This window comes from Homo sapiens, chromosome 9, assembly GCF_000001405.40.
Source record: "Homo sapiens chromosome 9, GRCh38.p14 Primary Assembly".
Classification (NCBI taxonomy): domain Eukaryota; kingdom Metazoa; phylum Chordata; class Mammalia; order Primates; family Hominidae; genus Homo; species Homo sapiens.
The window spans coordinates 109,859,079-109,879,744 of NC_000009.12; the positions used below are offsets into that span (position 1 = coordinate 109,859,079).

At 41.4% G+C, this 20,666-nt stretch overlaps 1 protein-coding gene across 14 annotated transcripts in view; it reads left to right on the plus strand.

Moving 5' to 3' along the window:
* The window catches only part of PALM2AKAP2 (PALM2 and AKAP2 fusion), a 531,726-nt gene that overhangs the window by 218,292 nt on the left and 292,768 nt on the right, over positions 1 to 20,666 (plus strand). For all 14 annotated transcript variants that reach the window (NM_001037293.3, XM_047423410.1, XM_047423411.1 and 11 more), the window contains one exon: positions 8,413 to 8,493. In NM_001037293.3, coding sequence (NP_001032370.1) covers positions 8,413 to 8,493 — 81 coding nt within the window. The remainder of the gene's footprint in view (positions 1 to 8,412; positions 8,494 to 20,666) is intronic.

Genomic DNA, 20,666 nt, shown 5'->3' on the forward strand with positions numbered 1-20,666 from the left:
AATATTGCATCTAAATTCTATGGGATGTTTCTTAAGGTTTTGGGTGTTAAATTACCCCTTCTAAAATCCAGTATTGAGGCTCGAACTAATCAATGTCTTCTTTTTCTTTTAAAAATTCTCTTGACCATATTGTTTCTATTACAAATGAAACATGAAGGTAGAAAGTAGAATAATAAGTTACAAGAAGTGGAGAAGGGAGTGTGTGTAGTGGAGGATGAGAGAGGTTGGTTAATGGGTACAATTATACAGTTAGGTAGAAGGAATAAGATCTAAGGTTGGATAGCACAGTAAGGTGACTTTAGTTAACAACAATATATTTTAGATTTTAACATAGCTGGAAGAGAGGACTAAAAATGTTCCCAACACAAAGAAATGATAAATACACGAGATGGTGGATGTCCTGAACACCCTGGTTATTATACATCCTATGCATGTAACAAAATATTACAGGTACCCAACAAATGTGTACAAATATCATATGTCAATAAAACAATTAAAAGTAAATAACTACAGAAAACAATACAAAGCTGGCAGTTCCTTCTTTTACAGATAGATGGCAAGCTCAAGTCCAAATAATCAGTTGAAGAAAAGAGAAGTTATGTAGATGGAAATGCTGGTCCAAACTAAGGGATGAGGAATAAATAGAGTTGTGGAATTATCCACTTCACCTGGTGATGTTGCGGGTTAAATGGGTACATGGCTAGGCAGAACAATGTAGAAAACCTACCTTACTTGTTCTTCTGACCAAGCCTTTTAAGGCTGTCATTTAAAATGGCTCTGAGTTCTGTTTCTTAGTTTTGTAGGATCAGAAAATCACATGCCAACTTAGCTTTCAGCTACTTATCTACAAACCCAAGTGTCTATTTATTTTTCAGTGGATGGACACTGCAGGGGTCTTAGCAAGTACCATCTCTCCATTTAGCTAACTACATAGGAAGCCTGAATAGAAATCAGGATTATGATTGGTGATCTTGAAGACAGAGCCAGGAGAGTGAGTTTTAATATCTGATGGTGTTGAGATGAGATAACTGATCTCGAACAGGGATGTGTCTGCTGAGCAAACTCAGCATTACTTGTTAGCTGGACAGGCGATTGGACAAAGCTGAGTGAGCACCTCTTCAATTTTTTTTATGCTTGATTACTCAGGTTTTCAGTTTTTAGACAGACTATTTTTCTTTTTTTTCCCCTCAGATGTATAAATAGCATTGAATCTGCAGTAGTGTTAGAAAGGTAATTATAACCCAACCATGTCTGAGATGACATTGTGATTTCTTAATAGAAAAAGCTTGTTGGGTCCCCACTTGCAAGTTGATTTTTCATAATTTAATTCTCAAAATGTCACCTTATTTCTTGGTGTAACCCAGATAAAACCTAGGTATCCTGGCAATCCAGTTTCAGCATGAAGTTATATTCAAAGGAACACAGGCTAGTTGGCCAAAGTAATTTCAGTATCCTTACTGGAATCTTCTGGAGAACATCAGAGGGGATTCATTTTATAAGCCACAGTAAAATATCTCAAGATTCTCTTTTCCTGATTTCCTGGCCTTAATATCTCAGCCTTTTCATTTTAAACTCTTGAACTTTAAACTGTCTCTGACCCCTTTCAGTGCTTTACTTCTTCATCTCTTCTTTCCTTTTCTCGATCATTTTTCCCCCTAAATAGCATCCCCACCCATTCCCTTTCCAAGTGCAACTATATAAAACAGTCTGTTTCTCGCAGTTTTTCAGTACTTTACCTCTTTCTCTGATTCTTCATTTCAAAAGCCTAGGAATCCTCTGGCAAAAAGTCACTTAAAAGGTTTGGGGCAAGGAAACAAGATTCCCTTTAGCTCACATGGAAGGAAGTCAAAGCTGAATTATCTTCATCTAGCAATAGAAAGAATAAAGATTGCAACGTTTACAATTTAATATATTTTCTTTACCCTCCTCTTGTCTAAATTCTGTGATCTCATGATGGCAAGAGGGCCTTGAGTAGGTCTTCTGGTCCCTTCCCACTGCTGTGCCCTGGGGCGCGAGGTATCAGCGCAAGCTAGAATGGGGGTTCAGTGGAGGAAAGGAAACACCCTATTTCTGCTTCTGACTACCTTCCCTGCTTAGCCTCTTTCCCTGTCTCCCTGTTTCTCACACACTCAGTTGGGACACCCACCTTGTCCACAGCCACAGCCTGGCATCTCCTAGTGCTCCAGTTGCAGCACAGTCAGCAGGAGAGAAGAGGGAGTCTCAAGGAGCAAAAAGGTGGAAATAGGCTTTCCTAACAACAGGTGCTTGCCATGTCTGTCTTCTCATCATATTTATTGAACAGAATGTGCTTCATTCTCTACGGGTGCTCTTTAACAATAGTTTACGTGTTATGTTACGAACATGTTATGATTATAACATGTTCTATCATGTTATAATCCTTCCAGAAAATACTTGCCAGGAAAATATATAATTTATAGAAAGTGAATGAAAGTGGCTTGTTAGCCTTCCCAGATAGTGGAGGAATCTGGAAGTCTTTCTAATGGATTGAGATCACGTCATTCCAGATGTCTCTTGAGGCACACTGCCCCGAATGGTTGCTACTGTCAGCTCATTATGCTTTTCCCTGGAATTTCCACTTCCCCCGCCTTTCTCCCCAGAATAAGCTTTCCATGATTCTTTCCCAGAATTAGCCTTTTCAACTCTTTCCTCATATGCATAGCAACAGTAATTTATTTCATGTGGGTTAATGTCTTTAGCATTAGGACACTTCTGGTTTTATGGACTGATGGCCAATGTGTTTTTAATAATGTATTTTGCTTCTATTGAAGTCATGAGTACAAATTCGTAATTCATTTGAATGAGGGATATGGACAAACAGGAACACAAGTGGAAGAGAGAAAAAAGAGGATAGTACACTCAGAGATACTCAGTAAGCATAAATTACATGTATTCATCATACAATATTCTAGGCTTTAGAGATGTGTCAGCCAAGATCCTTGTCCTCAAGGAGCCCATAGTTTGTTAGAGAGAGAAGATGTGTAAATAGTTAAGTGTATAAAGTGCTACAGTGCTTGAGGTCTAATGTAGAAAAATCCACAGCCTGTGGGGAGGGAAGAGAAAGGAGGGAGTGATGCAATCTATTTGGAGGGAACAGAAAAATCTTCTGTATTTGTCAGTACTCTTTGAGTTGTAAGTGGTAGAAACATCACTCAAACTAGCTTAAGAAAATGGGAGATTTATTAGTGTATATAATTTAGGAAGCCTGGGGATGGTTCTGGCTTCATGCATGACTAGATCTGGGACTCAAACAATGTAGTAGGACCCTTTTTTCTCTTTCAACTCTGCCTCCCTCTGCATGTTGACTTTATTTTCTTCAATGTAGATGCATTTCTTTTATGTGACTTGGAAAAATTGCTACTCAGAAGTACATCATCTCAGCTTAATCCTAGTGGTATGTTTTTTCACTTCTCTCCTGGTATCCGTGTGTCTGTCCCTAGAAATGTCTCTAACTGGTGTTTCTCAGTTCACTTAGCTATCCCTTGGATCAATAGCTATTGCAAAGAAACGAGGTAGCATGATTGGCCTAACCTGGCTCACAAACAAGTCCTAGTGGCAGGAATGAGCTAACCATGACTGGCATTTCCACCAGAGCCATTTACAGTGAGGGTAGATGTGTTTCCCCAAAGGAAAGAAGACTAGGCAGATCAAAATTGACAGATGTTCATTAAAGCTTCATGGATATTTAAACTGTGCCATCATAGATGAATTGTTTTTTGTCAAATGAAGCAGCAGTGCACATCGATTATTGTTAGAGGAAGCAATAAGAACAAAACTAAGAGGACATGAACCAGCCGGGAAGATCAGGAGACTGCAAGTAGTCTTTGAGGTTGGATCATGGTAGGGGGCCATGGCTTGAGATGAAGCTGTGAAATAGACAGGAGCCTCACTGGCTATGCTAGGGAACCTGCTCTTTGCACTGTAGGCAATGGGGAGACATCCTTGGTTTTAGGCAAGGGTCGGAGGTGGTCAGATTTCCATTTTAGAATATCACTCTGGCAGCAGTGTGGAGATTGAGTTGGAGAAGCCAAGAATGGATGCAGGGAGACTAATAAGGAAACCACTACAGTAATCCAGCTGGAGATAAGTTCTGTAATGTGCTAAAGATGCTAATATGGAATAGTCTCCATGTCCAGGTAGGAGATGAAGGAAGGAGGGTTAAGGCAATACTCAAGGTTATAGTGGGGAAGCAAAAGATGTGGAAACTGGCCAGCAGAATCAACATGACTTGGTCTTTCAAGAAAGTAAGTGTCTAGGATGACTTAGATTTCTGACTTAAGTAGTGTCATTTGCTGAGATGAAACATAGAAGAAGGAACAGGTGTGAAGGTAGAGGGTGGGGGATTGCTTGAGATGGTGACTGCATGTGTTTGAGTTTGGGGGAGTGACTATGAATAGTTGGCAGTTCAGTATAGGGATCTGCAGCTCAAAGGAGAGGTAGAGTTGTAGAGTGGATGAGAATGAAGGCCCGAAGAGTTACTGGTTTTGTCCTGGTTAAGGGAAGGAGAAATCTGGAAACCAGTGGGCTATCCCGGTGAGGAGCACAGCTCAGACCTCAGCCATCAAACAAGTATCAGAAACTGCAAGTGAGTTCCTTAATGGTGTCCTATGCAAACTTGTTGTCGTTTGACTCATATCTAATTCTGAGCGTAGGCTGGTTGCCTCTTGTCCACCTAGAAGTGACTTTAAGACCATCACTATGGGCTGGGTTCGGAGGCTAACACCTATAATTCCAGCACTTTGGGAGACTGAGGTGGGTGGATCACCTGAGGTCAGGAATTTGAGACCAGCCTGGCCAACATGGCAAAACCCCATCTCTAGTAAAAATACAAATATTAGCCAAGCGTGGTGACACACACCTGTAATCCCAGCTACTCGGGAGGCTGACACAGGGAAATTGCTTGAACTCAGGAAGCAGAGGTTGCAGTGAGCTGAGACTGTGACAACAGACTGAGACTCTGTCTCAAAAAAAAAAAAAATTCACTGTGAAAGGGAGCTCAGCTAGTCAAAGAATCCTGAAATAGCTGTGGATGCACAGTGGGTCCTTGTCATGGGGCCAGGCCCAGGGTCATCAGTTAGAATGCAGTTGTAAACATGCTAATGCTGCTGCCTGGTTGTATGTGCTAACAACTGCTTAGTTCCAAATTCTAACCCAATAAGGAGTTTCCTCAGGGGAAATGTATGACTACAGCACAAATGGGCTCAGCCTTACTGCTTTCCCACTGTTACCCCTTCCTGCACCAGCGCTCTTCTGGTCCGTGTGACTAAAAGCCAAAACACCACTTTGCCTAACCCCCCAGATCCTATTAGTTTTGAGTCTCATCAATTCTGTTTCTTCCATTTGTCCTTCTCTTTCCATTCTGATTGGTACAGCTCTAAGCTAGGAGGCTTGTTAGTTCATCCATCCTTACTGCACAACCAGGTGAATGGAACATCCTCCTAAGGCACTTAAATGATATTTGAATCCACAGGTCAGCAAACTAGGACCCGTGGGCCAAATCTGGCCCACTACCTGTGTTTGCAAATAAAGTTTTATTAGAACACAGCCACACTCATTCATTTAAATATTGTCCAGGACTGTTTTTGAACTACAATGGTAGCATTCAGTAGTTGCGACAGAGACTGTATGTCCCACAAAATCTAAAATATTTACTTTTGTTTTATAGGAAAAGTGTATCAGCCCCTATTAATCCACCTTATGTATGAATGCCAGATTAATGTTCCTAAAATGCCATTTCACCATATCATTCTGTAGCTTAGAACCCTGCAATGACATTGCATTGTCCATGCAATAAAATCTAAACTTCATGGCCCTCCATGGTATAGTCCTAGCCAATCTGTTGAGTCATTGATCTCTGTTCCTAAAGGCAAGCCCTACAACCAGTTAGATTTTCCTCCTCATTGTCCCTGGAATATGCAGTGCATTTCTACCCTTGTTCACCTAGTTCCTTTTGCTTGGAATGTATTGCCCATTTGTATCTACCTAAATCCTACTCATTCCTTTTTTTTTTTTTTTTTTTTGAGACAGAGTCTCACTCTGTCGCCCAGGCTGGAGTGCAGTGGTGTGATCTTGGCTCATGGCAACCTCTACCCACTGGGTTCAAGTGATTCTCCTGCCTTAGCCTCCCAAGTATCTGGGATTACAGGCATGTACCACCACACCTGGCCAATTTTTATATTTTTAGTATAGATGGGGTTTCGCCATGTTGGCTAGGCTAGTCTCAAACTCGTGACCTCGGGTGATCCACCCACCTCAGCCTCCCAAAGTGCTGGGATTACAGGTATGAGCCACTGTGTGCCCGGCCCTAAATCCTACCCATTCTTAAAGGACTAACATGAACTCTACATCCTTCATGACCATGTCAGTTACAGTGATCACCAATGAGCCTGCTGCTTGAGCATGTAAAGGTCCACTGCCCATACTGCCTGGTAAGTTTTCTTCTGCTCAGAGAATGGTTCACCAATATGATGATGGGCAACTCTGGAGTGAGGACTTTCTGATGGAACAAAGTCACAGCTGTGGGAAAGCCTGGGAATGGTTTGGAAATGACAAGACATGTAATGAGAACACATGACACTCAATTAATATTTGTGGAAATCTTGAGTCATCAGCCTCTCATATCTATGACATACATCTTGGTTCTGTATTTAAATGTAGGACAACTACATATCTTGATAGCCAGTGGGAATGACTGACAAAGTCCAGTAAGTCTACTCTTGAGAGATTCTAGAATGTAGAGATAGCAGCTGGACCAGGAAGCCCTAGCTTTATCATGTGCCATCTCTGAGATGGTGGATGTGGGCTGTTCCCACTGTGCCTCACTTTTCCCATCCACTGTCATATATTTTATGGTCTTGCACACACTCTGGGATTAAGTAACATCAATTATGCACCATTGATTGGAGTTCTTTGGTAAATGGTACTACATTCCTAAAATATTCATGTGTCTTACTTTGTCAGGGAGATTATATCCGTGACTTAGATATCATATTCTAGTGGCTTAAGATTATGAGCTAATATTTTGTAAGGTCTGGGCATTGCACAGAAAACCTTGGTTGTAATACACATTATTATTACATTGATTTGAATAGCAATGGTACAATCATAGCCCCGGAAACATAGCGACTACATAAAATAAAAGCTTCCGTTAACACTGAGCACAGCAGCCAGGCTTCCGCATTGTTGTTGTCCCTAGGATTTGGCTGTTGTATTGTCAAATGCCATTATGTCTTATCTAATAAGTTTCTCCCTGCATATGTGAGTAAACGAAAATGCTCCAGTATAGTAAATGTCTCAGCAAACCACTCCTGTACGCTTTGGAAACAGAACATTAACAAGGAAACTATCATGAGAGCAGACCTTTCTGTTCTCATGAATCACATTCATATGATGTTTATTGTCCACATTGGAGAAGTATAGAGAAGAAAAATATGAAGGGTACACTCTAATGGAAAGGTTATAGTGGAAATGCAAGGAAAATATATCCCTTTACAACCAGCTTCTAGGCATTACCTAGAAGTAAAATTATGACAATAAGACTAACAGCAAATAACATTGAGCACTTACTCTGTGCCAGGTATTGTTCTAGGCCTTTTACGTTACATCATCTTATTTAATCCACTCCACAACTAAGTGGTTTGGATGCAGTTATTATCTCCACTTTATGTACGAGAAGACCAAGACCCAGGGAGGTAGAAGAACTTGTCAGAAGTCAGACAGGTAGTGAGTGGTAGGGCTGGGAGTTGGACCCGGACAGACAGATTCCAGATTTCATATTTATCGTAACCTCAGCTGCCCCACCCACATGAAATGCTACCCCAAGGCTAGTGGCAGCAAATATAACCCATTTCATTTGCATTGTTTGGTATGTCCAACTGGGTGATTTGTCCTACAAAATTTGAAACAACGTCTGCTTATTTATGTCTGTGATTTTGATCAAATAAATCTCACCCAGAATTTCCCACTGTCTTATTCTATGGTATTTGCAGTTTGTAAGAACCTCTGTCTTTTGGATTGAGACGTTTTTATTCTTTGTGTCCAAATTAACACTGCACAGAACATGGTTCTCTGTGTGTGTGTGTGTGTGTGTGTGTGTGTGTGTGTGTGTGTCTGTGTGTGTGTGTAGAAACCGTCTTTTCTTTTGGATTAAATTCTTGCAGCCTGGCTGAGTGAGGAGAATTTCTCCCACTCTTCGAGCCTACAGCAGACATGTTAGGAGAATGCTGCTGCTTGCAACACACCCAGAGACGGTGGGGCAGGTGACACTGCGTGTGTGCCCGGTGTCTCTGGAAGTGTCTATACAGATGTGTGCTGCTGCTGCTGCTGCTTTCTGCCTTAAAATTTCTGGAGCCAACACCCACCCACTCTTACAGCCTCTGTCTCTTTATTTTCAAGGAAAAAAGAAAGAGGCAGACTGAAATAGAAGGCAAGCGACAACAGCTTGACGAGCAGATACTTCTGCTGCAGCATTCCAAGGTAAGCAGCTGATCCCAGGAACCTATTCCATTATTAGACATGCAGATCACACTCCGGAGAGCTGGGCAGTGCCTGCCCTGCCGTGAAGGCGCTGCCGCCAACCAAACCAGCCTTTTTCATTCAATCAGGAAACCATCTCTTGGCTTTTCTTGTGAATTTCTCAAATTCAGGGCATTATTACAGCATTCCAATTTCTGCAAGCATAAGATTACAGTGTGCATGTGGACAGGGTGGAGGGTTTGTGCGTGTGAAGTGTGGTGGCTATATATAGAAATTGGATGAGAATACTTCACAGGGTGGGTGAGGCAGCATTTCAGGATTGTTTCTCCCATGCATAGGTGCTGGGTGTGTTTGCTCAGAGACCCCAAAAGATATATTTCACGGAACGTTCTTTTTATTCACTTAAAAATATTAGTATTTCCTTTCTTGATATGGAGAAAAGGGAGATTAAACGATGTGATCTGATAAAAGAACAACACTGTGTATTTCAGATTATTCATTTATTTTATTTGTACTTTAACAATTTTGAAAGTGTTCTGTGAGAGCAAGCAGTTGGTCAAAGATGGCTTTGAAATGATTTGACTCAGACGGGTCTCCATGGTACCATCTAAAAAGAGAGAGAGAGAGAGACAGCACACAAGAGCTGTTTATTTTTTCTTTAAAACATGATGCACTTAAGCATCGTAATTGATTACAGCTCAGGAGAAAGCTCTGTCACTGTCACAAGGACCCCACTGGTTGCAGAATGTTGCTTTTCACATGTTCAGAGAATAATGTGACCACATTCCAATGGCCAGCCGGGAGTTGTTGCTTGCCTTTGACTGCTCCTGGGCTTTTTGGCAGGAAAACCTTCTCCTGCTTACCTCATGTTGCTGTGACATTGCCTGCACAGAGCTGCATTGCTCAGAGGACTGGGTGGGAAGGTGGTGCTGACTTTCGGGGTGATGCTCGGTATGAATTATCTAGATTTTTTTCAACAAGATAAACCTTTATGGCTACTTTTCCTGTCCTTTTCTAGAAAACAGGATTGTGCTAAATGAATACCCAAAATGAGAACCATCAGCAAGCGAGTTACTGATTGAAAATAGCAGCATGACCTATATCTGCTTAGCATGTTTATCAGTTTTTGCCATTTACCTTAACCAGAGAAATGTGCTTAAAAGGAAGAAAAGCAGCATGATACTAAGGATATTGCCTGTTTCTCTCTGTTCATCATATAAATTCATTGACAGATCTTTCTTTGTAGGAGCTTGCTCTGTATCCCCGGTGCTGTTGCTCTTTCCCCACAACATTCCTGAGGGAGGATGGAGGGCTAAAATTAGTATCCTCTTCTCACAGAGAGGGGGCCTTAAAAACACCTAATAGAACTGAGTGAATTGTTCAAGGTCAATCTGCACAGAGCTAGGTCTCTGGCTCAGAGTACAGTCCATTCAGTACGGTGCTTGTAAGAGACCAACATGTACTAAAACCTCAGTGAATTTCTGGTTAAAGGTGAACTTTTAAATAAGAGGACCGAATGAAAAAAGAGAGGCTGCTTTGGGCTAGACAGCCTCACTTTAAGCTCAACGTAGTTCTTTGCTTTTGTATTCCCTGAATCCAGTCAGGGAATAAACATATGTCAAAACATCAAGGGATTTTTTTTCTTTGGTCTCCCTTCTCATGATCCTGGGTGCCAAATAAGATACCAAGGGCTCATTTATTGCTGATGTCCAGTGCAGTATTAGTATATTCTGTTCATATTACATCTATTCATTTTTTTATTTGTTTGTTTGTTTGAGATGGAGTCTCGCTCTGTCGCTCAGGCTGGAGTTCAGTGGCATGATTTCAGCTCACTGCAAGCTCCGCCTCCCAGGTTCACGCCATTCTCCTGCCTCAGCCTCCTGAGTAGCTGGGACTACAAATGCCCGCCACCACGCCCAGCTAATTTTTTTTTTTTTTTGGTATTTTTAGTAGAGATGGGGTTTCACCATGTTAGCCAGGATAGTCTCGATCTCCTGACATTGTGATCCACCCGCCTTGGCCTCCCAAAGTGCTGGGATTGCATATTCATTTTTCGTCTATGCATCCATTCATCCATCTTTCCATCCATCCATCCATCCATCCAATCAACAGAAACAACAGTAGAAATTAACTTGGTCTTGTATGCGGAAGCAGTGAGGTTTTTCTCAAGGACTTGGAAACAAGGGAATCAGCTAGTTCTTTATGGCTATCTTGGTAAAATTCTCACACAGTTGATGAGATTGGCTATCTGAAGGAACACCCAACACTCGCACCATGGCAACCTTGCTATTGCAGGGCAGGAGGTGGGTGAGGTGGGGAGGACTGGAGGTGATGGTAACTTACTAAGTGGAGGTGAGTGCATTGTATGTCTCTGGGAAAGGCTTGTGTGGACAGAATGAGGGTGAGTTATTTGCCTTGAATACTGAAAAAGGAAAGCTCAGAGGTTCCAAAGGTGGCAGTGGTTGTCTAGTACTATCTGCAGAGAGACCCCCAGCTTTGGGAGGTCCTGAATTTCTGTATGCTGGTGAGGTGGGGTCAGTGGTAAGGTGAGGAGGGTCCTCAGGCCACAGTGAGGCCCAAGTGAAACTTCCCTCAGGACCTTGCCTCTCTTTGTTCTGAATTCATCCTCCCTATAATTATTCAGTTATTTTGATATGAGGAAAGGGTTGCCTGATTGAAGGATATGATCACTTTAGGCACTAGGAAGGAATATGTTTCACTTTAAATCAATAAACTGGTGACTGAACTTGAATAGCATGGGACTTTTTCCCTGTAATCATCCAGTTTGCAGCCTAGTGGCCTCGCCCCTGGATGGAAGTACATTCGTGGAGGTTATATTTTCTTCTCTGTGAGCCTCTCCAAGGAGTCAGCCAGTTTTCTCCTGGTAGCCTGTTAGCCACCGTCAGTAACAGTCACCATTTTTTTGAGTGCCTAACACGTGCCTGGTACTTTAAACACATACCCTCAATAATGACCACAAGACAGTTATTACTCTGTCTTACAGCTATGGGAACAAACTCATGAGGTCAAGTGATTTGCCCAAGACCATAGAGACTATAAATGAGGGAGCCTGAGAGAAACTCCTGGGCTGTCTGCTTTCAAAGACCGAGCTCTTTCCAGGCCACCGTTCTCTTTGAAAGAAATGTTTCCTTTGGAATAATTCATTTAGTGAGATGCCAGTTACCATCATTGCTGTCTCTCTTACTCTAAATATATTGTGATGGACTCCAGAAAATTTAGATCATGTGGAGACATGTCACAGTGATTATTGAAGTTCCTTGAAGTAGAGAATATTAGGAAATATGTCAGTAATCAATATTTGTTTCACTAATTTGCAAAATCCTAGATATTCTCTAAGAAAAAAATATTCTCCTTGCATTAGAGTTAGTTGTCATGTTTATAAGATATAATTTTCATATTCTTTATATAATTCTCATATTCTATGTCTTAAGATAAAATTCTCACATGTGGCAATTATCAGATAGCCTGTGGACACTTATTCTCATGCAATGAGATGAATTATTTAGACAGATTCACCTGTCTGTGGTCAAAGCAAATAAATAGAATGCAAGATAGTAGTTTTGGCATTCATATATATTTTTAGAAGACTTACTTATTGCAATATTTAGGAACATATAGTGAGCAACTCTACAAAATGGAATATCATCACTTTGTATATGGACTTCGAGCAAATTCCACAATACAGTAAAAGACTAAAGTATAAAATGGTAAAATACTAACTGCTACATCCCAGTGATTAGGAAACCTCAAGATACTTTGAACTCCAGGCCAAATTAAACTCAGATGTATTTTTAAAGCATCCTTAGCTATACGTAGTGTGGTGTAATAATTTCTAAGCATTACAAGTAGAACTAGTAAGCAATTTTTATAGCTATATTATTTTTGATGATTACAAAAGGAAAGAATGTATAATCATTGCAAAAACTAAATTAAAAAGTACAGCAAAATATAAAGAAAAAACATATGTACTCTATACTTACCATTCAGATAGAACCCATGCAGAGGTAAATCCTTCTATACTTTTTTCCCCGATATATTTCTGTAGATTAAGATATGTAACCATCATTCACAGGGCTCACCAACCTGTGGGTAAAATGAAATTATATTAACATTAGCATTGGAATAACATTAACCTTTACCTCTTTTTTATGTGGGTTCTTTTTAATACCCATACAAAAACTTATAATTTTTATAAAATCCCATGGAGCATTCTTTTACTTTAGGATAACTGACTTTGATGTCTTCCTTGAAAAGAATGTCTCCATCTCAAACTCTTAGCTATTATGTTTCTTATACTTCAATAGCATTAATTCATCTAGAATTTATTTACAGACGAGGTATGCAGTAGGAATATAACTTTACTTTTTACTGATGCTGAGCTGCTTGTCTCAATGTGATTTATTGATTAATTCATCCTTTCCTTCACTGATTTAAATGTCTTCTTTATCACCTACATATTTCTGACTTACATTTGAGTCTACCATTTATGGATTATTTTTATTCCATTAATCTGCCCATTCCTGTGCCAGTATTGTTCTCATTTAATCCCTATAGCTTTTTAATATATTGTAATATTTCATAAGACAAGAACTATCATTATTCTTTTGAAAAATTGTCTTGGCTTTTTATTTCATAGGAACAATTATTTATTTTTATTGTTTTTATAATGAGACTTGTGATGATATGGATTTTTTTAAAATAAATCAGCTACTATATCATACTAGAGCAGAAGGAATTTAATATTTCCTTCTGTCCCTTGGTTGAATTGCCAGAGATTTGTCTATTTTATTGGTCTGTTCAAAGTCCCAGCACAGAGTAGGCACTGAGTACCTACTGCAACATGAATTCCTTGGAGACTGTCATATTTACAAAGGTTTGCCTGACAGAGTTGGCCCTGTCAGAATCAAATTGCTAATACCACGTCTTCAATACATAAACTGCCTTTGAATTACTTATTCATGAGCGGGGAACCCTCACTAGAGTTTTCTTCTAATCCAAGCTATAAAAATTGTCATTATATTTGGAAGACCACAGCCTTTTCTTCCAAGAAAGCTGAATGAAAAAAGATGAAAGGCTGAATTGTGACCCTGTGAAATATTTGTTGTCAACCCACTAAGGTCATTTGCTGAAGAGCCTGAAGGTATCAGAAGACTTGCTACAAAGATATTACAGTGTCTTTCCCGGTTTTGAACATTTAGCACTAATTTTAGACTTTTTCTTGTTACTGGGATGTGTGAAAGACTTATTTCAAATTTTAAAATATTGAACAGATAGGCACAGTACACAGTGTAAAGTAACCTTAGATCTCCTCCCTTGTTTCCATACCCAGAGCTTGAATGGAAGTTAAAACCTGATTTCTTCTATCAGAAGTCTTGGGTCGGCTTCTCCCTGGGTGGACTGAAGCATATAACAAAATCTCAAAACCAAACCAAGATCTTATTTATTGAGAGTCAAGAAAGAGGAAGGAAAGAGTGGGAAGGATAGGGGAAGAGAAAGAGGGACAGGACACAGATAAATGACTGAAAACACAAACACAGCTATTGCCTCATGCTGAGTTTAACCCACTTTCTGTTAGAAAACTGAATTTAGGCCAGGCGCAGTGGCTCATGCCTGTAATCCCAACACTTTGGGAGGCCAAGGCGGGCAGATAACCTGAGGTCAGGAGTTCGAGACCAGCCTAGCCAACATGGCAAAACCCTGTCTCTACTAAAAATACAAAAATTAGCTGGGCTACTTGGGAGGCTGAGGCAGGAGAATCACTTGAACCTGGGAGGTGGAGGTCGCAGTGAGCCAAGATCACACCACTACACTCCAGCCTGAGTGACACAGTGAGACTCCATCTCAAATTAAAAAATAAAATAAAATAAAATAAAATAAAATAAAATAAAATAAAATAAAATAAAATTGAATTTAGCCATATTCCAACCATCATCCACTAGAATAGCCAATATCAGCTTCAGCCAGATTACAAATGAATGAAAGATCCAGAGTAAAAAGTAAAATCATGAAAGTACACAAAGGAATCACAGGTGAATATTTTTATAGTGAGGGTAAGGAAGTCTTATCTATGTATGACATCAAAGCCAGAATGTGCAAGTAAAAAAGATTGCCAGTTATGACTTTATAAAAATAACAAACATCTGACCAGGAAACAACAGGAGACTTATTACAAGTTCTCATTCACCTCCTACTTCCCCAATCTGCCCCACCCAGCCTCTCCAGACATGCCTCACTCTTCACCGGGGTCACCTCAAAAAGTGGTATCTAGGCTGGGCACAGTGGTTCATGCCTGTGATCCCAGTACTTGGGAGGCTGAGGTGGGAGGATCATTTGAACCTAGGAATTCGAGACCAGCCTGGGCAACATAGATTCCATCTCTACAAAAATAAAATAAAAAATAAAGGAAAGTAAGAAAAGTGACTTCATTGCAGTTACCTTAGCTGTAGATGAAAAAGATTGGGTTAGATGATCTCTGTGATCTTTTTTTAGCTTTAGTGATCCAAGATTTTATATTTGCTAAAGTACAGTGTATGTGCATGATTTTCCAAGAATTCCTCACATGTCAGCCTCCGTGGATGAATAAAAGATACAGTCCTGACTGTGAGAACTCAGGGGCAAGTGGGGGAGAGAGAGCATCAATATGGAACCCACCATTAGAGGAGCTGAAAAATAGTTTTCCATGTTATGAAGTGGATCAGTGGCACCTGATGATTTTGTAAATCCTATTTGAGCAAAAAAGAAAAAAGGATTCTTGGGTGATCTTACACAGAGGCAAGATAGTAGAGTGTACCTCTTGGCTTCAAATCCCAGATCTACAGCTCACTCGGTGTGATACCATGGATAAGTCAGTTAATGTTAGCACCTACCTCATGGGATGCTTGTGAAAGTTAAGTGGATTTACATGTAAAGCACATAAAGCAGTAAGAGTTCTATAAGAATTATCATTATTGTCACCATCATCACCCAGTACTATGGCTGCAAATACCATTTATGTATATATGACTGCCAAATTGAGAATCCCAGTCTTCCATGTTCAACTGCTTTTCTGACATGTCCGCTTAGATGGATGTCACTTTCATTTAGAAGCCTCTGAAACTTAACATGCCCAAAATGAAAGATTTTATTTTCTGCTTTTCTATCATTTGTTCTACTCTTCCCTGTCTCCAGTTGATGATACCACTATTCACCCTTTCACTCAAACCAAATATCTATGCATTGCCCTAATCCTTCCCTTTTTCTCAGCCCACATCTAATCTGTTACAAGTCACACTGATTCTACCTCCAGAATGTACCACCATGCCTTTTGATTCTTCTGTCTCTCTTCTGTTTCAAGCTAATATTCTCTGTCACTTGAACCATGCAATAAACTCCCATCACTTGTACTTTGTAATCCTGCCCCTTGCAATGTGTTCTTCCTATTGGGCTTAGAAGACACAGCAAACTCCTTAACAAGGCTACAGAATCCTACCTAATCTGGCCCCTGCCTTCTTCTCCATCTTCAGTTTGTTCTGCCCTCCCACCCCAACCTCACTTATTATGGTCCAGCCACTCGGGCATTTGTTCCGGTCCACAAACACACCAAACTCTGTCCTACCACCAGGCTGGTACATTTGCCAGTCCCTCCACCTGGAACACCCCTCCGGATCTCAGATCTCAGCTTGAATGTTCAAGTCATCAGAGAGACCTTTCCCACTTTAAATGTCCTCCCCTGGTCCCTCTTTGTCACATTGTCCTGTCTACCTCTTCCTAGGCAGCATCATAGTCTGAGATTATCTTGCATCCTTGTTTATTGGGATGAAGGCTTGAGTGAGAGTAGGGACTTGCCTGTCTTCCTGAGCTGTGACTTCAGGGACTGGCAGAGTTCTTGGCACCTAGGAAAGGGATAAGAGAGCCACTGCTCCTGAGTTGGGGACACAGAAGGAGAGGATGGGGAGTTCTTTTAGATTATGGTGTTTGACCAGCCATTGAGAAAGCTTGTGTATTCTTCAAGCATTTGGATAGTCATAGGTCCTCATGCTGTGCTACTCAAATCGTGGTCCTCAGTCTGGCATTGCCAGTGACAGCATCACCTGGGAGGTCGTTAAAATTCAAATTCCCAGGCCTTATGCGAGACTTAGAGAATCTGCATCTCCATGGGTGGGTCCTGGAATCTGTGTCTTAGGAAGTTCTCCTGGTGGTCCTTATGCATACTGAAGTTTGGGAAACTCAGTTCTTGCTTTTTGTTTTCCAAAGCTGGCCAGGCCAGTAGAGCCAGAAACAGATTTACTTTGGGAGTTCCTTCTGTCCTCCTTTCAGAAGCCCCTGTCAAGTTTCCCTTTGTCCAGCTGCCAGCTCCCCACCTGCTCCTTCCTTGTATTGACTTGCCATGATGACATTCGTTTGACAAATGTGAAGTTTGACAGTCCTTAGCACCTTGGGAGGAGTTTGAGACCAGCCTGGCCAACATGGTGAAACCTTATCTCTACTAAAGCTATGATACTATGTTAGCTATGATACTTTTTTTTGATGTATGTTATTTAGACAATAAAGGCCACAAACAGAGAAAAGTTTTTTTTAATTTTAATTTTTTTATTTCTATTGAGCTCTGCTTCCGCTAAATTCTGAAACACTGAGGCAGCCAATACAAGCTAGCACAGTATAGGGGACCCTGTGCTTTGGATGGTGCACTCAGTATACACCATTCCATTTGGAGACATGTTGGAGACAACATAAGGGGGATCTGGAGTCAGTTAAGGAAGCCTTTTGAATTGGTGATTTCCCCTGAAAGCATGACTTTGGAGCCAAGTAGAAAATCAACTATGCTTTTTCGGCTTCTTAAAAATGTCTAAACACCTTTGTGAAACAGGATTCTCTGAGACCAGGCCCACTGCCTTTTCCAGTTTTTTTTCTTTCTTTCTTTTTTTTGAGACAGAGTCATGCTCTGTTGCCCAGGTTGGAGTGCAGTGGCGTGATCTTCGGCTCACTGCAACATCTGCTTCCTGGGTTCAAGCAATTCTCCTGCCTCAGCCTCCTGAGTAGCTGGGATTACAGGTGCTCGCCACCACACCCAGCTAATTTTTGTATTTTTAGTAGAAATGGTGTTTCACCATTTTGGCCAGGCTGGTCTCGAACTCTTGACCTCAGGTGATCCACCTGCCTTGGCCTCCCAAAGTGCTGGGATTACAGGCATGAGCCACCACACCCAGCCCCACTACTGCCTTTGTCTGTTGGAGCCTCTCTTCCTGGCTCCTCCTGTTGGGATGTTCTTAATGATGTCATGCCTATATCAAGAAAAGAGATGGAAGTAGAGGGACATGCACCTCTGGGTGACCAGAGTCACCAGGCTGCTCTGGCCAGAGCTACCTGCTGATGGTGGCAGCTAAGTTGGTGAGAAGTGAGGGGCTAGACCCTTCATGTGATGGCAGGAGGCACTGTGTGAAGAACAGCAGAGAGAACATTCCAAGAGCAGCCATTTACGTTGCAAGAAGTTGTGGCTGCAGAACATCCCTGCTGGTGTGGAGACAGCCAGGACTGTCCATGGCTGCTTTTCCAGAAGGGTCCACACCAACGCCAAGGCTTCCAGGATGTCTATCCCCCAGAATCCTAAGGTTTTTACTATCTGTGGTTTGGACATCTTTAGCACAGGAAGCACCCTGAAAGTGTGGTCCCTACCCCTCCCAAATAATTAGAGAGAAGGAAAGTTGAGAATTTCCCAGTTCATCCATTTACTCATTCATTATAGGGAATTGGGCTACAATTCCATTGACTGAATGAATAAATGGATGAATTGGGAAATTCTAGGTGACACAGTGAATGTGAAGGTGGATAAAGGACAGTCCTAGCCTTCCAGGAACCAGCAGGCTACAGGGGGAACAGATGTAAAAAGAAAGAATTTGAGGATAGTATGAAAGGGCCATAGAGTGTGTCTCAGAGCCAGTAGAGGTGGAAGGCTTCTCTGGTGGTATTTTACTTGTTCTTTCTTAGGTAAATAAAGCAGAGGCCAAGGGAACAGGATGGACAACAACAATAGTAAACATTTCTATAGTACTAAGTATGTGTGTGGCCCTTTTAGCCTATAAACTCCTTTAATCCTCATAACAACCCTCTGAGCTGGGCACTGCTATTTTCTCCATTTTACAGATGAGAAAACTGAGGCTCAGTGAGGCGAAGGAGCCTGTCCAAGCTCACTCAGCTGGTAAATGGCAGACTGGTTCCAGAGCTCAGGCTGTTAGCCACTGTTCAGCATGGCCTCTTGCAGTCTCTACCCTCTTCCTGAGAGTAAATTTCAGAGCCAAGTTATAGTTCAAGAAAAGCAAAGCAATAATCATTCTTCTACTTCAGAATTGCTACCAATGAACAATTTATTTTGTGCCTACAACAGATTAAGTATCTGAATAAAAATATAAAAACATGAATTGATTAAAAAATGGCCTCTCATAATGTGCAAAACAGGGTCTGTCGGGGAAATTTTGAGAGGTTTTTGTGGAGAACAATGGTTCTGAATGTTTTGTAGAAAGAGCAACCGATTTGCCCCACCCTTTCCCACTTTCCAATGGAAAAGAATCTCTGATAAAGCTTTGATAAGCAACCAACGTAAGCAAATTGTACTGCCCTCTTTTACACATGATTTTATACTATCATACGATGCCCTATAATGTAAAAACTGTACATTTTAATACCTACCCTGGTGGTAGATGCACACTATTTATACAGAGCACATTCAACAGGCAGCATGTCACCAGTGATGCATAGCTGTTTACGCATATTGAGGTGTGGGGGTGGATCCTGTCTATAATCACTGTAAGAGTATAGTTAGGAATAATTCTATGTGAACAAACTCAAGTCTTTAAGCCTAATTATTAAAAAATTACAGGTCAAGTACCATAAATTTGCCTATGTGCTGCAAGAGTAATCAAAGAGATCTCTACAAACAATGATTTGTAATGAAAAGGCAAGAATAACATCAATAAAAACCATGGTCACCTGAACCCACACTGATGATGTATTGTCAACACAGAGTCTCTCCTGGAAGTGCAGGAATTCCAGGTTGATTGAACTTGCTCCTGGGCATGGAGCAGGGTGTCTACAGCACCAGATGACCCCTGGACTTCTCAATAGAATGGTGAATCAGGACCATTAGTGAAGTCTAACTTACTAATACTAAGTGTTGGTAATTTTTTTTTGAGACGGAGTTTCGCTCTTGTTGCGCAGGCTGGAGTGCAGTGGCATGATCTCAGCCCACTGCAACCTCTGCCCCCCAGGTTCTAGTGATTCTTCTGTCTCAGCCTCCCAAGTAGCTGGGATTACAGGCGCATGCCATCACACCTGGTTAATTTTGTATTTTTAGTTGACATGGGGTTTCTCTATGTTGGTCAGGCTAGTCGCGAACTCCTGACCTCAGGTGATACGCCTGCCTTGGCCTCCCAAAGTGTTGGGATTACAGGCGCGAGCCACCGTGCCCAGCCCAGTGTTGGTTATTTTTAAAGACTCATCAGTTCATAATAAAATGCCCTTAATGCCGCATACAAATGAGAGTCTATGGAATTGTGCATCCTTCGCTCATAAGAGCTTCAGGGAGTGCTCCAAGCCTCCATTCCCTGGCTCTCAGTCTTTAGAAGAGTTCTTTCCTTTCACCTCGCTCACCCTGCCTGATGAGATCAAACGAAATTCTGGACAGAGGTGATGCCAGTGAGCCAGGGAGCCAAAGAGCCAGGTCTTTATTCTGTGTTAGGTGGCTTAATAGTCATTGCTCCTGCTGTTCCTTTCGTTGCTTACTATTTCTGGGAAGAATTGTTCATGTGCCCTGCATCCTCACTGTGGTCCCCTCTGGTGACCACTGACCTGCCCATGGGCATGGTCACTGGTCCTTAGCCATGATGTACAGGGTCAGTAGCTGCTGCCGTCTGCCATCTAGGGACCATATAAGTGGAACCTGAATCAAAATTATCCTCTCACATCTACCTCTCCTTGCTCTTCCTTTTAGGGAATTTCAACATGCTTTTTTCTGGAACTGTTTTCATTTCCCTTCTCAAAGCAGTAATTGCTGCCTCCGAACCATTGACCTGAAACAAAAGCTTTTTATTCCACTGTACTGTATCGTAGTACACTTGCAAACATGGGATGTATGGTTTTTTTTTTTTTTTTTGACAGGGTCTCGTTCTATCACCCAGGCT